This window comes from Homo sapiens, chromosome 6, assembly GCF_000001405.40.
Source record: "Homo sapiens chromosome 6, GRCh38.p14 Primary Assembly".
NCBI classification, from domain to species: Eukaryota; Metazoa; Chordata; class Mammalia; order Primates; family Hominidae; genus Homo; species Homo sapiens.
In genome coordinates this window covers 76,691,694-76,707,221 of record NC_000006.12, presented here as the reverse complement: position 1 = coordinate 76,707,221, position 15,528 = coordinate 76,691,694, and the positions used below count along the sequence as shown (strand labels likewise).

Genomic DNA, 15,528 nt, shown 5'->3' with positions numbered 1-15,528 from the left:
GTACAAGAACACAATCTGTTCTCAAGGGGGTGATGGTCTAGGCATTATCACATATTGATGGTAGGAGTAAAATTGCTATAACTGCAATGGGGGGGCAATTGGTACTATTTATCAAAAGTAAAAATTCACTTACACTTGTGAGATAACTTGGTTAGGCACTGCAGCATTGTTTTAATAGCAGAAGACTGGAAACCTAAATTCCAGCAATACAGGCCAAGTTAAAATATGGAATATTCATTCAATGGATTATTGTGAAGCAGTCAAAAAATGAGGCAAATATTTCCAGTTCTGGCAATAGAAGAGTAACTTTTTGCTAACCACAGTCCCACTGAGAATAATAGATATGCTAGACAAAATATAAATGTGTGTGTGTGTGTGTGTGTGTGTGTGTGTTGTGTGTTTGAATAAACGGCTAAGATACTGGAGAGAAAGAAAGCTCATGGAAGTAAGCCAGACATTCTATGCAGCTTTTCTCCTCAAATACTGCCAATTTGGAAGTGGCATAGAACCAAGAGGCTAAATACCTAGCAGTAAACAGCAGCTAAGAAGCTGAGTTGAACTTTTGAAAGTCTTATGGGGTTGGGGAGATAAAATTTTAAACATAATGAATAGAAAGATAGTTGGGAATCCTGAACTCGTAATCTTGGAGGGAAGGGAAGGACAGAAGTAAGCCCAACAGTTGGTCCTGCTCTTTCCCTTAAAACATTGCTCAGGTTGCCAAACATAGATCTGATAAGGAGTTTGCATGTAGAATATGTAGAGATGCCTACATCTTAACAACATATAAACAACTCAATTTAAAAATTGGCAAAGTACTTAAACAGACATTTCTTCAAGGAACATCAACAAATGGCCAATAAGCAGATGAAAATATTTTCAACATCATTAGTCATTAGGGAAATGAGAATCCAAACCACAATGAGGTATCATTTCACACCTACTCGGATGACTACAATAAAAATGATGAATAATGACAAGTAATGGCAGGGATTTGGGGAAACTGAAGCCTTCATATGTAGCTGACAGTATAATGATGCAGCTGCTGTGGAAAACAGTTTAGTGGTCACTCAAAAAATTAAACATAGAATTACCATACGACCAGTAATTGCACTCCTAGGTGTATACCCAAAAGAATTATAAACAGGGACTAATCAGATACTTGTACACAAATGTTCACTGTAGCATTATTTACATAGCCAAAAGTTGGAAATAACTCATGTCCATCAACAAATAAATGGATAAAGAAAATGTGAGTGGCAGGGTGCGGTGGCTGACACCTGTAATCCCAGCACTTTGGGAGGCCAAGGCGGGAAGATCACAAGGTCAGGAGCTTGAGACCAACCTGGACAATATGGTGAAACTCCATCTCTACTAAAAATACAGAAGTTAGCCAGGCATGATGGCAGGCACCTGTAGTCCCAGCTACTCGGGAGGCTGAGGCAGGAGAATCACTTGAACCTGGGAGGCAGAGGTTGCAGTGAGCCGAGATCAAGCCACTGTACTCTAGACTGGGTGACAGAGCAAGATTCCAGCAAAAATAAAAATGATAAATACAGTCAATGGACTGTTATTCAGCAATAAAAAGAATGAAATTCTGATACATGCTACAACATGGATAAACCTTGATAACATTATGCTAAGTGAAATAAGCCAGACAATGAAAACAACACATGTAGTTTGATTTCACTAACATGAAATTATCTATAAGCACCTAATTCACAGAGACATAAAAATTAGAGGTTAAGAGAGGCTAGAGAGAGAGAGAATAGAAAATTATTGCTTAATGGATGCTGAGTTTCTGTTTGAATGATGTAAATATTTTGAAAATAGATGTGACAGTTGTACAACATTGTGCATATAAACTAACGTCACCATGGGCTTCTGGATTGAGTTGGGCACTGTAGGGGCCAAGATGGCTCTCTGAAGTTCTGCTGAAAAAAATAACAAACTCATAAAAGGCGTATTAATTGGTGAAAATGTAACAATTTTGTTTAACATCTATGCAAGGGACCTTTCAGAATGGTGACCCAAAGATACAAGAGAAATTGTCTATTTTTATGCTTAGGTTCAAAAAAAACAGTTGTGTAAAAATATGACAGTTGTGTAAAAATATGATTAAACAAAAAGGGCATAATCTCATACAAATAGACGGAGTCTGGAAGCCCAGCAAGGCCAGTCTGTCTAGATTCTTCTTGGCCTCTTTGAGCGTCATTTCTTCCCTCTGGGGGTGGTGCGGGACCCTTTCTGGAATGGGGGTCTCAGAACCTACAGTCAAACAACTAGGTCAGATAATTTCTTTATGGCCAGTTTTCACACAGAAAATCAGAAGGAAAGTTAAAGTAATATTTTTAGGTTTTATGGCTGGTTTTGGGGAAAAGGGATTCTGGTTTCTACGAAAATCCTTGGGGAAAAGGAATTCTAGTTTCTATGGTTAGCCTTCGGGGAGAATAGACTGAGGGGCAGGAGGGCAAGAGAAGGTCAGGGAAAAACTTTTGCTTCTGTGGCTGCTGCTGAGGCCTTCATTTGGGGGTATTATTTTCTGAGCTGCAGAGGCACCAGGATTTCTATTGTTATTCCCACATTTTCACACCGCACATCACACATACTTAGCATTCAAATTATATTAAATAAATATTTGACTGTCCACCTTCTTCCTATTGTCCTTCCTTCCCCTGGCCTGCCATACTTTCTTTCTCTTGATATCTTTTAATTCAAAAGTTCAAGAACAAAAGGCTGTTCTTGGCATGCAGCAAAAATATTTTAAGAAAATTTCTTGATTTAAATTTAAATGAGCAGTTCATTACATAACACGTATGAATTAAACAGAAATATTGTTGGGAAATATAATTAAAAACAAAGCCTTTTTCCAACCCAGAAATCCTCTCCTTAAAAGTAGTAGTGGAAAACAAAAACAGAAAGTTTTATTATTGACAAGCACTAAGCCAGACTGTGACGTACATCACCATCAATCCACTAAGAGATTGCAAAGACAGAAATCTCAACCTTTCATGTAGACAAGCAGATACAACCTATTACATACATGTTTTCAAGATAAACAATGACTAGTCCTTGACAAGAACATTTGTCACACATAATCCATCCTCACTTTACCTGATCATTGAGGTGACCATCTGTGTTAGCTAATTAGCTGTATCCAGAGGAAAAACAAATTCCTCATCTCTATATGAGAGGAGGTAGTTTCGCAATCCTCCAGCTGAAGTTAGGCTCCTACCTTAACCACAGAAACTGAGAGATAGAGGTGCTATCTCCCTTGATGTTTGCATTTCAAAGAAATCCCTCCCATGTTCTTGAGAAAGATGTCCCTAGGTCATAGAGGTGACAAAAGTCCTATCCAGTCTTCAAAAGGATTTATATACATTTCAAAGACACAAGAAAGTATTTAAGATATTCTAAGATAAGTGCTCTAAGAAAAAGGAGGGGAGAGAGCTCTTACCTCATTCTTAACAGGGAGAACTAAGCCTCTTACTTTTAATTTGCATTTGTTCTTACAATATGCAAATCCATCTTAAATTTAATTAATCTCACTGTGCAATCTTGGTATATTTCATTCCAGTCATTGATATATGTGTGTATCTATCATTTTACATAGGCATTTTATTATTTATTATTTAATGTTATTTATTACTCATATATTTCCTCAGGTATTCAGATCTTTCTGTAAATTCTAATGTGAATAGTCACCTTTGATCTGTGAAAAGAATAAAAAACAAAGTGATTCATAAATAACTAAAGGCTTAGTTTACTCTTAGGAAATATTACATATATTTGAGATGTAGTCTTGCTCTGTCACACAGGCTGAAATGCAGTGGCACGATCTCGGCTCACTGCAACCTCCACCTCCTGAGTTAAAGCAATTCTCCTGCCTCAGTCTCCCAAGTAGCTGGTATTACAGGCATCTGCCACAACACCCAGCTAATTTTTTACTTTTAGTAGAGACAGGTTACCACCATGTTGGCCAGGCTGGTTTCAATCTTCTGACCTCAAGTGATCTGTCCACCTCAGCCTTCCAAAGTCCTGGGATTAGAGGTGTGAGCCACCATGCCTGGTCAGAATATATATACATATTTTTTTTCTTAATTTTTCTACAGCTAGAAACTGAAACCCGCAGGATTTCAGTGTGATGCTTGAGATGACCAACATGACTAGTTTGCTGTGAACTGTATTTTGTGTATTGATTATTTTAAGAAATATTTATCCTCTAAGGAGCTTGCAAACTACCCAGGAAAAGAATGTAGCACAATGAATTGTTATGTATTATTCCATTTGTTTTAATAATAGACATCATGTTAGTCCATTTTCACAGTGCTATAAAGACATACCCGAGACTGAGTAATTTACAAAGAAACAAGGTTTAATTGACTCACAGTTCCGCATGGCTGGGGAGGCCTTAGGAAACTTAACAATCATGGTGGAAGGGGAAGCAGGCACGTCTTACATGGCAGCAGGTGAGAGAGAGAGTGTGTGAGAGCACAGGAAAAACTACCCTTTATAAAACCATCAGATCTCCTAGGAACTCACTCACTATCATGAGAACAGCAAGGAGGAAACCGCCCCCATAATCTAATCACTTCCCTCCCTTCACACGTGAGGATTACAGGTCTCTCCCTTCACATGTGGGAATTACAATTCCAGATGAGATGTGGGTGAGGACACAGAGTCAAACCATATCAATAAGCAATATGCTTATTGCATAAGCAATATGTTATGGGGAGAGAAGTGGGAGTGGTTAAGTTGGCCTGGAAAGTTCAGGAAGAACTACACAGAGGTTAAAAGTACAGTCTAGCCAGAGGGAGGAGCTCAAGCAGAGGAAAAGACTTATGGGAAGGTCTGGCATACTTAAGCAATGGATTGCGAATTCCAGTGAGGTTTATCAGATTTGCCTAGGGAGTTTATTGAAAATATGGATCCAGAGACTCCATATCAGTGTTCCCAAAATGTTTTACATTAATGCCCACCCATTTTGATTTCAATGTCCACCTGAGTTTGTGAATCACTGCTTTAGGGCTTATGCCTGGAACCCAGTACAGATAAGAAGTGGGAGAGACAAGCAGAGGCTAGATAATGAAAAGCTTTGTGGGTTGTCCCTAGAGAGGCTGAATTTTATCCTGAAAGTTTTTGGCCAAGATTTGTCATTAATTTCCACCTAGGCTGGGCATTAAAAGCCTGAGGATATGAGAGGAAGAAAGAAAGTAAAAGAAACGAGTCAGGATTGAGAAGTGAATGTTAATTTAGGCTCTCCTCCTTCCCCACCAGCCAGGGGCAAGCTGTTTCTGCTACTTTAACCGTTTTCTGTCCTGTCAGGGACAAAGCACAATTTATTAGAAAAGATTTTTCCAAGGAAAGCATTTTGCTTCCAGCTGTGAATCTGCCTGCTGTTCTTAGAGTCATAAAGAAGCCTCTGCTGGTAGGTATGGTCACTGTTTCAAGGAAGAAAGTTAAAGTCTATGTTTTGGAAAGCATGGGGGAAGAACCCCTTTCTTCTCCCAATCTGTGGAATACATTATGTGTAAGCAGAAAAATACGTTGTGTAAGTGAGGTGTTGAGGAGGGGCAAGCTCACCTCCTACTTTTCACATATCAATTATGACTGAGATTAAGACATCTATACATATAAAAGCACAAAATATATTTTAAAACTTACAAGACATTCCAATACCTATTGAGAAGGCTTAAGATTTCCTAAAATAATGTAATGAGCTAAAATGGTATTGGAACCTTCCAGAGCACTAGCTATTACACAGGACTGCTTATTGCCTGGCTTCTCAGCCTCAGCATTATTGACATTTTAACTGGACAAATTTTTGTTATTGTTGGGATAGGCCTGTGTATTATAGGATGTTCATCAGCTGCTCTGGCCTCTGCCTGCTAGATTCCTGTAGTACTCTTAACCAGTTGTGACAGCTAAACATGTCACAAATACATGAATATTGCCAAATATCTCTTAGAAAGGAGAAGACCAAAATTGCCCCTGCTTGAGAACTAGTCATTTATTAATAACATATGGAGATGAGATCTTTCTGCAAATTCAGTAATTTAAACCCCCATATAGAGAGGATATAAGTCTAATCTAGATAAAATTTATTAATGTTTCACAAATTCCACCTAAACCCAATTATGTTAATGCACGGGTTTATCATTCTGTTCATAAATAGCCTATAGTAATGATTGAGGAGTTAAGGCTTGGAGATAGACTTTCATAAAAATCTTAATGACAAGCATGCCACTCATTTTCATTTTTTTTCCGGGTATTAAATTGTATCCCAGGGTCCCAAAGAATTAATATAACTCAAAACCATCACTGATGTATTCCTTTCTGGATCCAATTACATGGTCTATAATAAAGCCCTGTAGCTCCCGGAGGTAGAATGGGGGAATAAAAAGTAAATGCATTCTCCACTTAAAATTCCTACGTATTCCACAGACCATCAGAAAACTTCTGAAGTCAGCATCTCTGAACTCCAAATACTGCTGATTCACAGTGTCTCTTTCACTTATGACCCTGACCTATCTATGCAGAATTTGGGGTTCATTTTCTTTGGAATGACCATTCTTAGATGTAAAGGTAAATTTGACTCCCAAAAAGAGTAAGGCAATAACTAACCTCGAACCATTCTGAGTGTGACTTCTATAGATCTCATTTCAATTTTTTGCCTCTAAAGAGTCTTAAATCTAAAATACTTATTTAAATTTGACAGTAAATACTGGCACCTTCCCCAGTGTTCACAACTCCATTTCTAAATGTATTTTCAGTGATATATGGCTTGGGTAAAATTTATGTGTTCTATACTTATGGAAACAACTTAACTCTCCAACAATAAAGGGATGGTTAAATAAATTACTCTACATCTACATACATTCATTTAAAAATTATGGCTGAGAAGAATAATTACCAGCATATTTATGATATAAAGTAGAAGTTATAAGGTAAAATAGAAAATTATATACAGTATGATCTTTAGTATACATATATAAATATATATGATTTTATAAAGCATTTTACCCATCAAATGATAAATATTTCAATTCATGTATTTATTTTGTATTTTTTCTCTGCTTTTCTCAAAGCCTCCATGTCAGAAATGAAGAAGGAATCTGCACGTTCAGACAAAATAGACCTACTGCCCTCTAGATACTTCCTTCAGCCTCTCAACTTAAGATAAACTTTTGTGTCTTCATTCTTATCATTTTTGTACCAAGAAATACTGGACATCCTTCATCTCCAGCAGATTATATTTCCATCTGGCTCTGTCTGTCCTCTTTTATGACTAGTCTCTTGAAAGTTTTTCTAATTCATCTATGAACTCAAGGTCAATCATCAGTGAAAGCCTAGTCATTAGAGAAACTTTAATGTCAACCACTTCTGTAGACATTCTTTTTGCGTTTTGCTCTAACAGGAATCTGACTCTCTCCTGTGGACTCCGTTCCTTGAAATCCAAAACTTAAAGTATAATAATAATAAAATTAAAAAAAAAAGAAAGAAATCAAGTCAAGCAGAAATTGAGTTGATTCTTCTATCCCTTGTATCTCTCAGCTTGGAGAAGTCCTTTTTACTCCACATTGTCATTCACAAACAACTGATTAAAAGAGGGACAACATGGTTTCACTGAGCAAACATAGCCCCGTGTAGGAGTGGGAAAAAGCACAAGGCAGTGACAGACTGAAACTCTCTGGAGAAGTCACTCATCTCAGCTGACTATGAAGACTCCATGTGGGACACCATAGAGACCTCTCCATTCTTAATAACTGCTCCCTATAGTACTATAATCCTTGGGCTCTGTTGCTTCAACATTCTATGGTTTATTAATGAGATCCAATATGAGTTCACTCCTGTCCATTATAGTTGCTTCTTATGAAAAGAAAGGAGATCCTATGAGGTTTTGTTCCATCTGTTCAGTACCTCCAATGCCAACAGTATGATCTCCTTTCTCAGAAACACAGAAAACCAGACATACTGGGGTGGGCATGCTTCACATTTCTCCATAGCTAATGCATGACCTCCAATCATATTCAACCCATGCTCAATTCATCATTTGCTTATGCTGTCTGCCAACCTAAAAAATCTTCTAGTATTTGTGTATTCTCTCACCACATAATACTAATACTCTGAAATTAATTGTGTTTTCCACTACTTTTGCATACCATCCAAAATCTTGCACACTAAGCAAGGATTGACTTTTAAAATGCATATTTATTTTTACACATTAGCACTTTGGAGAAAGAAAGAAATCCCTTCTCCTTTTTATAATTGAGTGCTCAGCAGTCGTGGGCTCATAGTTGACATCTAACCAAAAAGCTTAACATCTACTGCTAGTTTCAGCCCAAACACCAATAAGCTGGATACATTTGTGTCAGTTCCTTACTTTCTCTATCAGTTTTTTTCACTTGAATGGGCTGAACACAATAAGTGATTACTTAGCAACTAAACTTCATATTAAACAAGCAATTATTGTGTGTCAAGGACTGTGCTAAGCAGTGTCAACATTCTGTGGTGACTTACAGATTCATTTCTTAGCAAATGTCTCTGTGGTTGTTAAAGTTTATATTAATTATATTTTGAAATATTTGAACAGTTATGATTGCACTTTTAGAAACATTCACCTTCCAATGTCTAAATTTTACTGGGATTTTAAGCTTTATTTTATTCAAGATTTTTAATATTTTCCAAGTATTATTGATCATACAAATAGGAATGTTCTTGGCAAGATATTTCAAGGAATATTAACGGTTATTGGCAGAATTGGATGAGGAGGTTAATTAGAAGTTATTGAGGACACATTCTATTTGTTAGGTTCTGCACATATGTTCACTAATTTAGGTATTATTAGTCCCGTTTTATGACTAAAAATAGAGAGTCAGGGAAAGTAATGGTCACATAATTACAAAGGCAATGCTAAAAGCCGAGTTTCACCTGTTGACCTCATCTGAGCACAAAGCCCTTCAATACACCAGAGTACCACACTTCTGTGGAAAGGCAGTGATTTATTCTGGTCATTTTCTAGCATATATAATATTGGCCACATTTCCTAGTAACCCACTATTGTTTAAATAAAATGCCACACAGCTCAGGTCAAAGGGGCCATTTTTTTCTGTTGACTTCCTTTTCATATCTTTGACACTATATTTTGCTGTCTCTTCTCAAAATTCCTACAAAAGCATTTTGATGCTAAAGTCGAGCTTGGAATAGAAGTTTATAAATGTTTAGAAGGAAATAAGAAATGCAATAACTGCTTTATTAAGTATAAGAGATTACTATACACTGAGTTTAATTAAAACTATGGGAGCTGGTGAGATGGAGAGACAGATAATCCAGATCAGACCGGTTTCTACAAATTCCACTCCCTTCCTGCAGATCACACCCTGAGAATAGGACAGTGCCCCCTGGTATCAAAGGAAATGGCCAGATCTCACAGATTAACCCTTGCAGGTACATTGCACAAACCAATAAAGTTTCAGTATCATCAGTGCCACCTTCAGGGGCATAAATGAAATAGCAAATTTTTCTATTTCTCAAATGTTTTTAGAATTAATGCTGGAGCAGGAATATATGCTAATATGTATCTTTGTACATTTTCTACAAACAATATAGTTTCCTAAATTTTTATAATAATATATTCCGTTGTAATGAGCTATATGCTAAGATTTCCCAATAGCTGATAACTCTTTAATCCCAGTAGAAATATGTGAAGAATTTGTGGCTAAATATAAAATAGGCTGGGGAAAAATTGTTAGTGGTTTTCAGATATGTAATATTAGTTAAACTTGGTGTCAAAAAGGACACTAGTTGGCAAGGTGCGGGATTTTGTTGTTGTTGTTTTGTTTTGTTTTGTTTTTTTTAGCTTACAGAAAAACAGAATGAAATCATAGGTCTTTTAGAAATCCTACCTCTTGCCTCCTGCCAACTGCTGAAAGCATCTGTAATAGAAGTATTGCCTAATGCAGTTTGGAAAGAGGGATACATGTGCCCAAAGGAAATCCAATTAAGAGAATATATAACAACAACAAAAAAGATATGTGATTTAATGCCAATGGGTAATAATTAATTATAGTGAATTTATTTAACCAATAAGTGATTTAATTTTTATCAAAACTTGGAATTAACTACCATACTTAGCCTTTTGATTGCATGTTCTGCCCCTCCCTGACCCTATTTCTGCATGACTTTCTGCCCAGTGGACTGCACTCTGTAGGCCCCAAGGTCCTCAGCTGCTGGCACTTCTCCAGGGGGCTCCCTTGGAGATCAATTCTTTCTATTTTCTGCACCTCATTATGATTATCAAGCTTTCTCTCTACCAAATGCCTCTAATTCTTATTTCATTCCTTGAGCTCTATGAATTACTGTTGCTGGCTGGTTCTATTAACTTGAATGAGTATTAAGTGCTAATCTTGTCTCCTCTTCTAGTATAACTTTTAACAAACATTTAAGTTTAGTGTTTAGCTTCAATCCATATTGAATATTCTGATGGAAATTTCCAGTGCTATGGCTTGTGGTTGAAAGAATTATCATGAATATGAGATATAGTTAAATGTAACCGAGATAACACTAAATATATAGATGAGAACATTAGACTCTACTTATGTCCCTACAGTTAGCCATCTATGTGATATTGAGCAGGGCATTCCTCACTTTCTAGATCCCAATTTTACAGTCGTAGAAGAAAGTCATGAGACACACAACCTGTACGCATCCTTCTAAGTCTCCAGGATTCTTGCTTTATAGAGTTACAATGCTAAGACATATATGTGTGAACAAACATAGGTCCAAATTCTTAAGGAATGTTGTCTTCAGACCTAATTGGTGAAAACAATCTATAATTATAAAATGCACTTGAATAGTTTAACTGAATCTCCACAGTATTCCACGTGTGTATCAGTTAAGACAGGTTAGGTTACACTTCTTTAACAAGCAATCCTCAAATCTCACTGCCAGAACACCACTTTACTTGCTGCTGTTGCAAAGTCCACTGCAGTTTCAAGCAGTTCTCCAGAACACCTCTCCTCCTTGTTTTGGTTTAATGCTCCAAGTTGCTTGGATCTTATTTTACCTCTGTATTACGATGTGCTTCTGTGAACAAGGAAAGCAGATGAAAGGCAGTGTGGAGAGTTGAACACCATCAATAAATGCTTATCCACAGTTCTGCTTATATAGCCACACTTCATCTTTTAAGGGAAGATATGTAGTCACGCCTAACTTCAATAAAATAGAGAATAGTGATCCACACATGTACCCAGAAGTAGAAAAGAATCAGATATTGGTGAAGAGAAGTAATACTTACTACAGTGTAACATGGGCATTGAGAATCATCAGAAATTCAAAGTAACAACCACAATGAGTAATATAATGTGTTTACATGAGAAGACAATGAATACAAAACACAGTAACAAGTCTACAGAAGTCTGCTGGAATTCTTGCTGTAAAGATACACATGGACCTGTGGATTCATTTATTTATTCATTTAGCATTTAATTAATATTCATTCTTTGAGTGCCCACAGTGTGCTAGGTACCAGAAATAAAGCTGTCCCTAATTTAACACATTTAATTCATTCCTGAAAACACTGCTGACAAGTGAAAAATTATTAAATGAAAAATACATTTCCATTAATTTTAGGGGGAACAATTATAATGCATTCTATTCCAACTGGAGATGCTCGAATAATTTTCACAGATAAACATATCAGTTTAGCAGTGTAAACAAGTTTAAGTAGGCAATAAACAATAATTGAAAAGTAAAAAAAATAGTTTGCAGATAAATGAATACACAGAAAGGGACTCATCATGTTTACGAGACCAAAAGAAGAGATAGCTAGAAAGGGAGACAGAAAATATTATAGACAACGGATATGTAGAATGATCATTATATATAGCAGATATGTAGAATGATCATTATATGTAGCAGGTATGTAGAATTTGTCATTGGAATCAGGACAATTTTGTGCATTGAAGCCAGTGCTATAGATAAATATACACTGGGACAATAGGCATAAACCAGTACCCTCCTGGGAAAACTAAGAATTATGCTCATTATACTCATATGCAATGTTATTTATGAGAAATCATGAGACAAATGTTAAAAGCTGGTGTTTCAGGATGCACTCCACCAATCACTGACACATCTTTCACAGTTTCAGTTTACACAGTCCAACACACATTCATTTTGACCAGCGGGAGGTAGCATAGGGAGAGTGGTCAGCAACCCTCTCTGGTGTTAGTTTGGCCAAGCTTCCCAACCTCCCTCAGGCACATGCTAGCTAACAGTCTGCAAGAAGCCTGCCTGAGCCAGACTGCATAGCAATTCTGAGGGCACTCACCCCCTGCCACAGGTCCCCTATTTTCAGTCAGGCAGTGCTTGACTGTAAGAAGCCTGACTGATACTTATCTCAAGTTAATCTGCACAACTGAAAAGATTTGTGTACAAAGTCCACAATGCAAAAAAATAAACCTATAGACACAATCTGAATATAAGCAGCTGTTTATATCCCTTAAGGCCAGCTGTAATGGGACTTGCATTTTTGGCATTTTCTCACCTGAACCTCCTTGCTCCATGTAGGGAATCACTGAAGAGTTAGAAGCAAAGAAGTGCAATGGTCCTACTTGGGTTGACCCTATTTGGGTATTTGTTTTGTCACTCACAATGTGCTTGTCTGTAAATAAATTATATAATCTGTCTAAGCCTCAGTTTTCTCATCTGTAGAGCATAAATAATACGATTTATATTTCCGTTATTGAAAGAATCATATGAATCAAGGTATGTAAAGTGCCTGGTATATTAGAGATCCTTTTCTTTTAATAATTTTGAAATGCTAATAAAGACACTTACATGTCAGGTATTAGTCTAAGTACTTTATACCTATTAATTCATTTAATACCCATAGTAACCAATGAGGTAAGTATCATGTTTGTTTATATATGAGAAAACTAAGACATGGTGGGGGAAAGGAGGGCTAACTAAATTGTCAACTTCACAAAGTGGGAAGGCTGGGATTTGAACCAGCAGTCTGAGTCAGGGGTCTAGTACTTTTAATCATCACACCATTCTGCCTTCCCACCTGGTCTCTGTCACTGTCTTGTATTTCATTTTCTGTCCCTAACTATATATCAATTCCATTGCTTGACCCTACTGCTTCCTTTCTTCTCTGACATCACAGAACAAGTTATCTACAGGTTTTGTTGTCAGGGAAGTTTTCATGGAAAATATGATACTTAAGCTGTAAATCATTCTCTTGCCAATTTTTGGACATCCTAAAGTGTACCTATTGTTTAGTGTGTGTTTTCAAAATCAGTAATTTTTTAACATCAAAATCATTTTTTAAAAAGTAATCAATGTATTACACTCTTGTTATGATTGGTATTAAAAATATTTGCCAGGCACAGAGGTTCGTTCCTACAATCCCAGGACTTTAGGAGGCCAAAGTGGGAGGACTGCTTGAGCCAGCAGTTCTAGACCAGCCTGAGCAACATAGTGCAACCCTGTCTCTACAAAAAGTTTAAAAAAATTAGCCAGGTATGGTGGCACACATCTGTGGTCCCAACGACTCAGGAGGCTAAGGCAGGAGGATCTCTTGAGCCAAAGAGGTCGAGGCTGCAGTCAGCCATGTTTGTGCCACTGCACTCCAGCCTGGGTGACACAGGGAGATGCTGTCTTGTCTCAAAAATGAAAGAAAATTTGCCTGAACCTCAAAAAGATTAGATATATCTGAGATAGACGTTGAATAAAGGATTTAGTCTGAATGAAGACTGGCATTTTATTATTATAAACACCTGTGTCAAGCTCCTTTCTCAAAACAAGAGATTAAACAACTGGCAAAGAATTCAGTAGTAACATAGATTTGCTCAAAATATTTATTTTGGCAAATTTTCCATATAGCAAGTTATTGAATATGTATTTACTGAGAAGATATCTTGGGAACCTTATTTTGTCCTGTTACACATTTCTTTTCTCCTGAAGATCTTACTATCTTAAATTTACAGCATTTTCCAAAAAATTACTCATAGGAAAAGAGAAGATATATCAAAAGTCAAATTCAATTCAAAGTCGAGAATCTAGGAAAAGTGTCTTTAGATGATAAGGAGAAAGAAAGATTATTATTATTATTATTATTATTATTATTATTTTGCTTTTCTTAGTGTATGTACTCTTCCCATATTGAACAATGTAAAATAATTCCCAGCAAGTTGACTACCCAGAAAATCAGGTACCCAGAAAACTACCCAGAAAAGCAAATGTCTGCTTCTCTTCTCCACCCTGCTTTCTCCTTGTGTTGACCCTAAGCCAAACAATTGACTGGCACAAGGCCCTAATCTTTCTAACAGAGACTTCAGGATGTATAAAACTCCTCATTATTGTTGTTGTCTACTTAAGTTCTAAGCTCCAAACAGTAACTCAAATAGATGTATGATAATTTAAAATATCAGAATTTATATTTCAGGAAGGCAGAGAATAGAACAGAACTCCTCATTTATAGATATGGAATTAAAACTTTTCTTTATTTCCTTCTTTGTTTTGTTTGTTTTGGTTTTGGCTGTTTGTTTCTGGAAACAGATTCTCTGTCACACAGGCTGGAATGCAGTGGTGCACTCACTCAGTGCAGCCTCAAACTCCTGTGTTCAAAATATTCTGCTACTTAAGCCTTCCAAGTAGCTGGGACTACAGGTATATGTCACCATGTCTGGCTAAATTTTTTATTTAAAAATTTTGTTTTTCTAGAGACAGGGTCTTGCTTTGCTGCCTAGGCTGGTCTTGAACTCCTAGCTTCAAGTGATCCTCCTTCCTCAGTCTCCTAAAGTGCTGGGATTACAGGCATGAGCTACCACACCTAGCCAAAGCTTTTCTTTTTAATCAGTTAATGTATCCTATTTGCTCATTTTAAATTACTCAATTTCTTATTAGAAGTGACTATCACCATGAATATACCAGAAGTAGTTGGTACTGTGATGTACCACCCAAATTCCCCTTCAGAAATATAGACATATAATCTGACAAAGATTATTTGCTTGTCCAAACTTTAGTTGGGCTTCTGAAACTTCCCCTAGGCCCATCTGTGCACTTCCTTATAAAATCCAGTTTTAGCAAAGAACTCTGCTAAGTCAGTTTAGCAAGAATCCCTCATCGCCAATATTTGGTGACCCCTGATATGTGATCAGGATCCTTATCCTCCACCAACCCACAGGTGATGTCTGATTACCCTGGATTGACTTCAAGTCACAATTGCACCCCCGACCCATGTTTCCTCTTAGTAATTTTTCATCTACTGACTCCCACCCTGATCCTTACCCATAAATTCCCACTTGCCTATGCTGTATTCAGAGTTGAGTCCAATCTCTCTCTCCTTGCAAGACCCCACTACAGTGGTCTTTATACCTATTGCAATGGTCATGAATAAAGTCTTCGTTATTGTTATTTAACAAGTATCATTAAATATTTGTTTTTCTTTAATAGATCCCAGCTACTAAGAGTGCTGCTAACAGCCCTTAGCGAGGACCAACTACATAATTTTTTGGACCCAATACA

At 36.9% G+C, this 15,528-nt stretch overlaps 1 long non-coding RNA gene across 1 annotated transcript in view, besides 1 other annotated feature; it reads left to right on the top strand.

Annotated features, from left to right (window-relative positions):
- Positions 1–12,856, top strand: part of LOC105377861 (uncharacterized) — a 32,911-nt gene extending 20,055 nt beyond the window's left edge. Inside the window, exon 4 of the long non-coding RNA XR_942697.3 lies at positions 7,086–12,856. This is a non-coding gene — a long non-coding RNA (uncharacterized LOC105377861). The remainder of the gene's footprint in view (positions 1–7,085) is intronic.
- Positions 2,898–3,727: an enhancer, noted in NCBI's record as "OCT4-NANOG hESC enhancer chr6:77413212-77414041 (GRCh37/hg19 assembly coordinates)". NCBI's record gives its function as "activates a minimal SCP1, AML or CMV promoter by ChIP-STARR-seq in primed H9 embryonic stem cells {active_cell/tissue: H9 hESC(primed)}" and the evidence as "EXISTENCE:reporter gene assay evidence [ECO:0000049][PMID:30033119]".
- Positions 12,857–15,528: the final 2,672 nt, after the last annotated feature.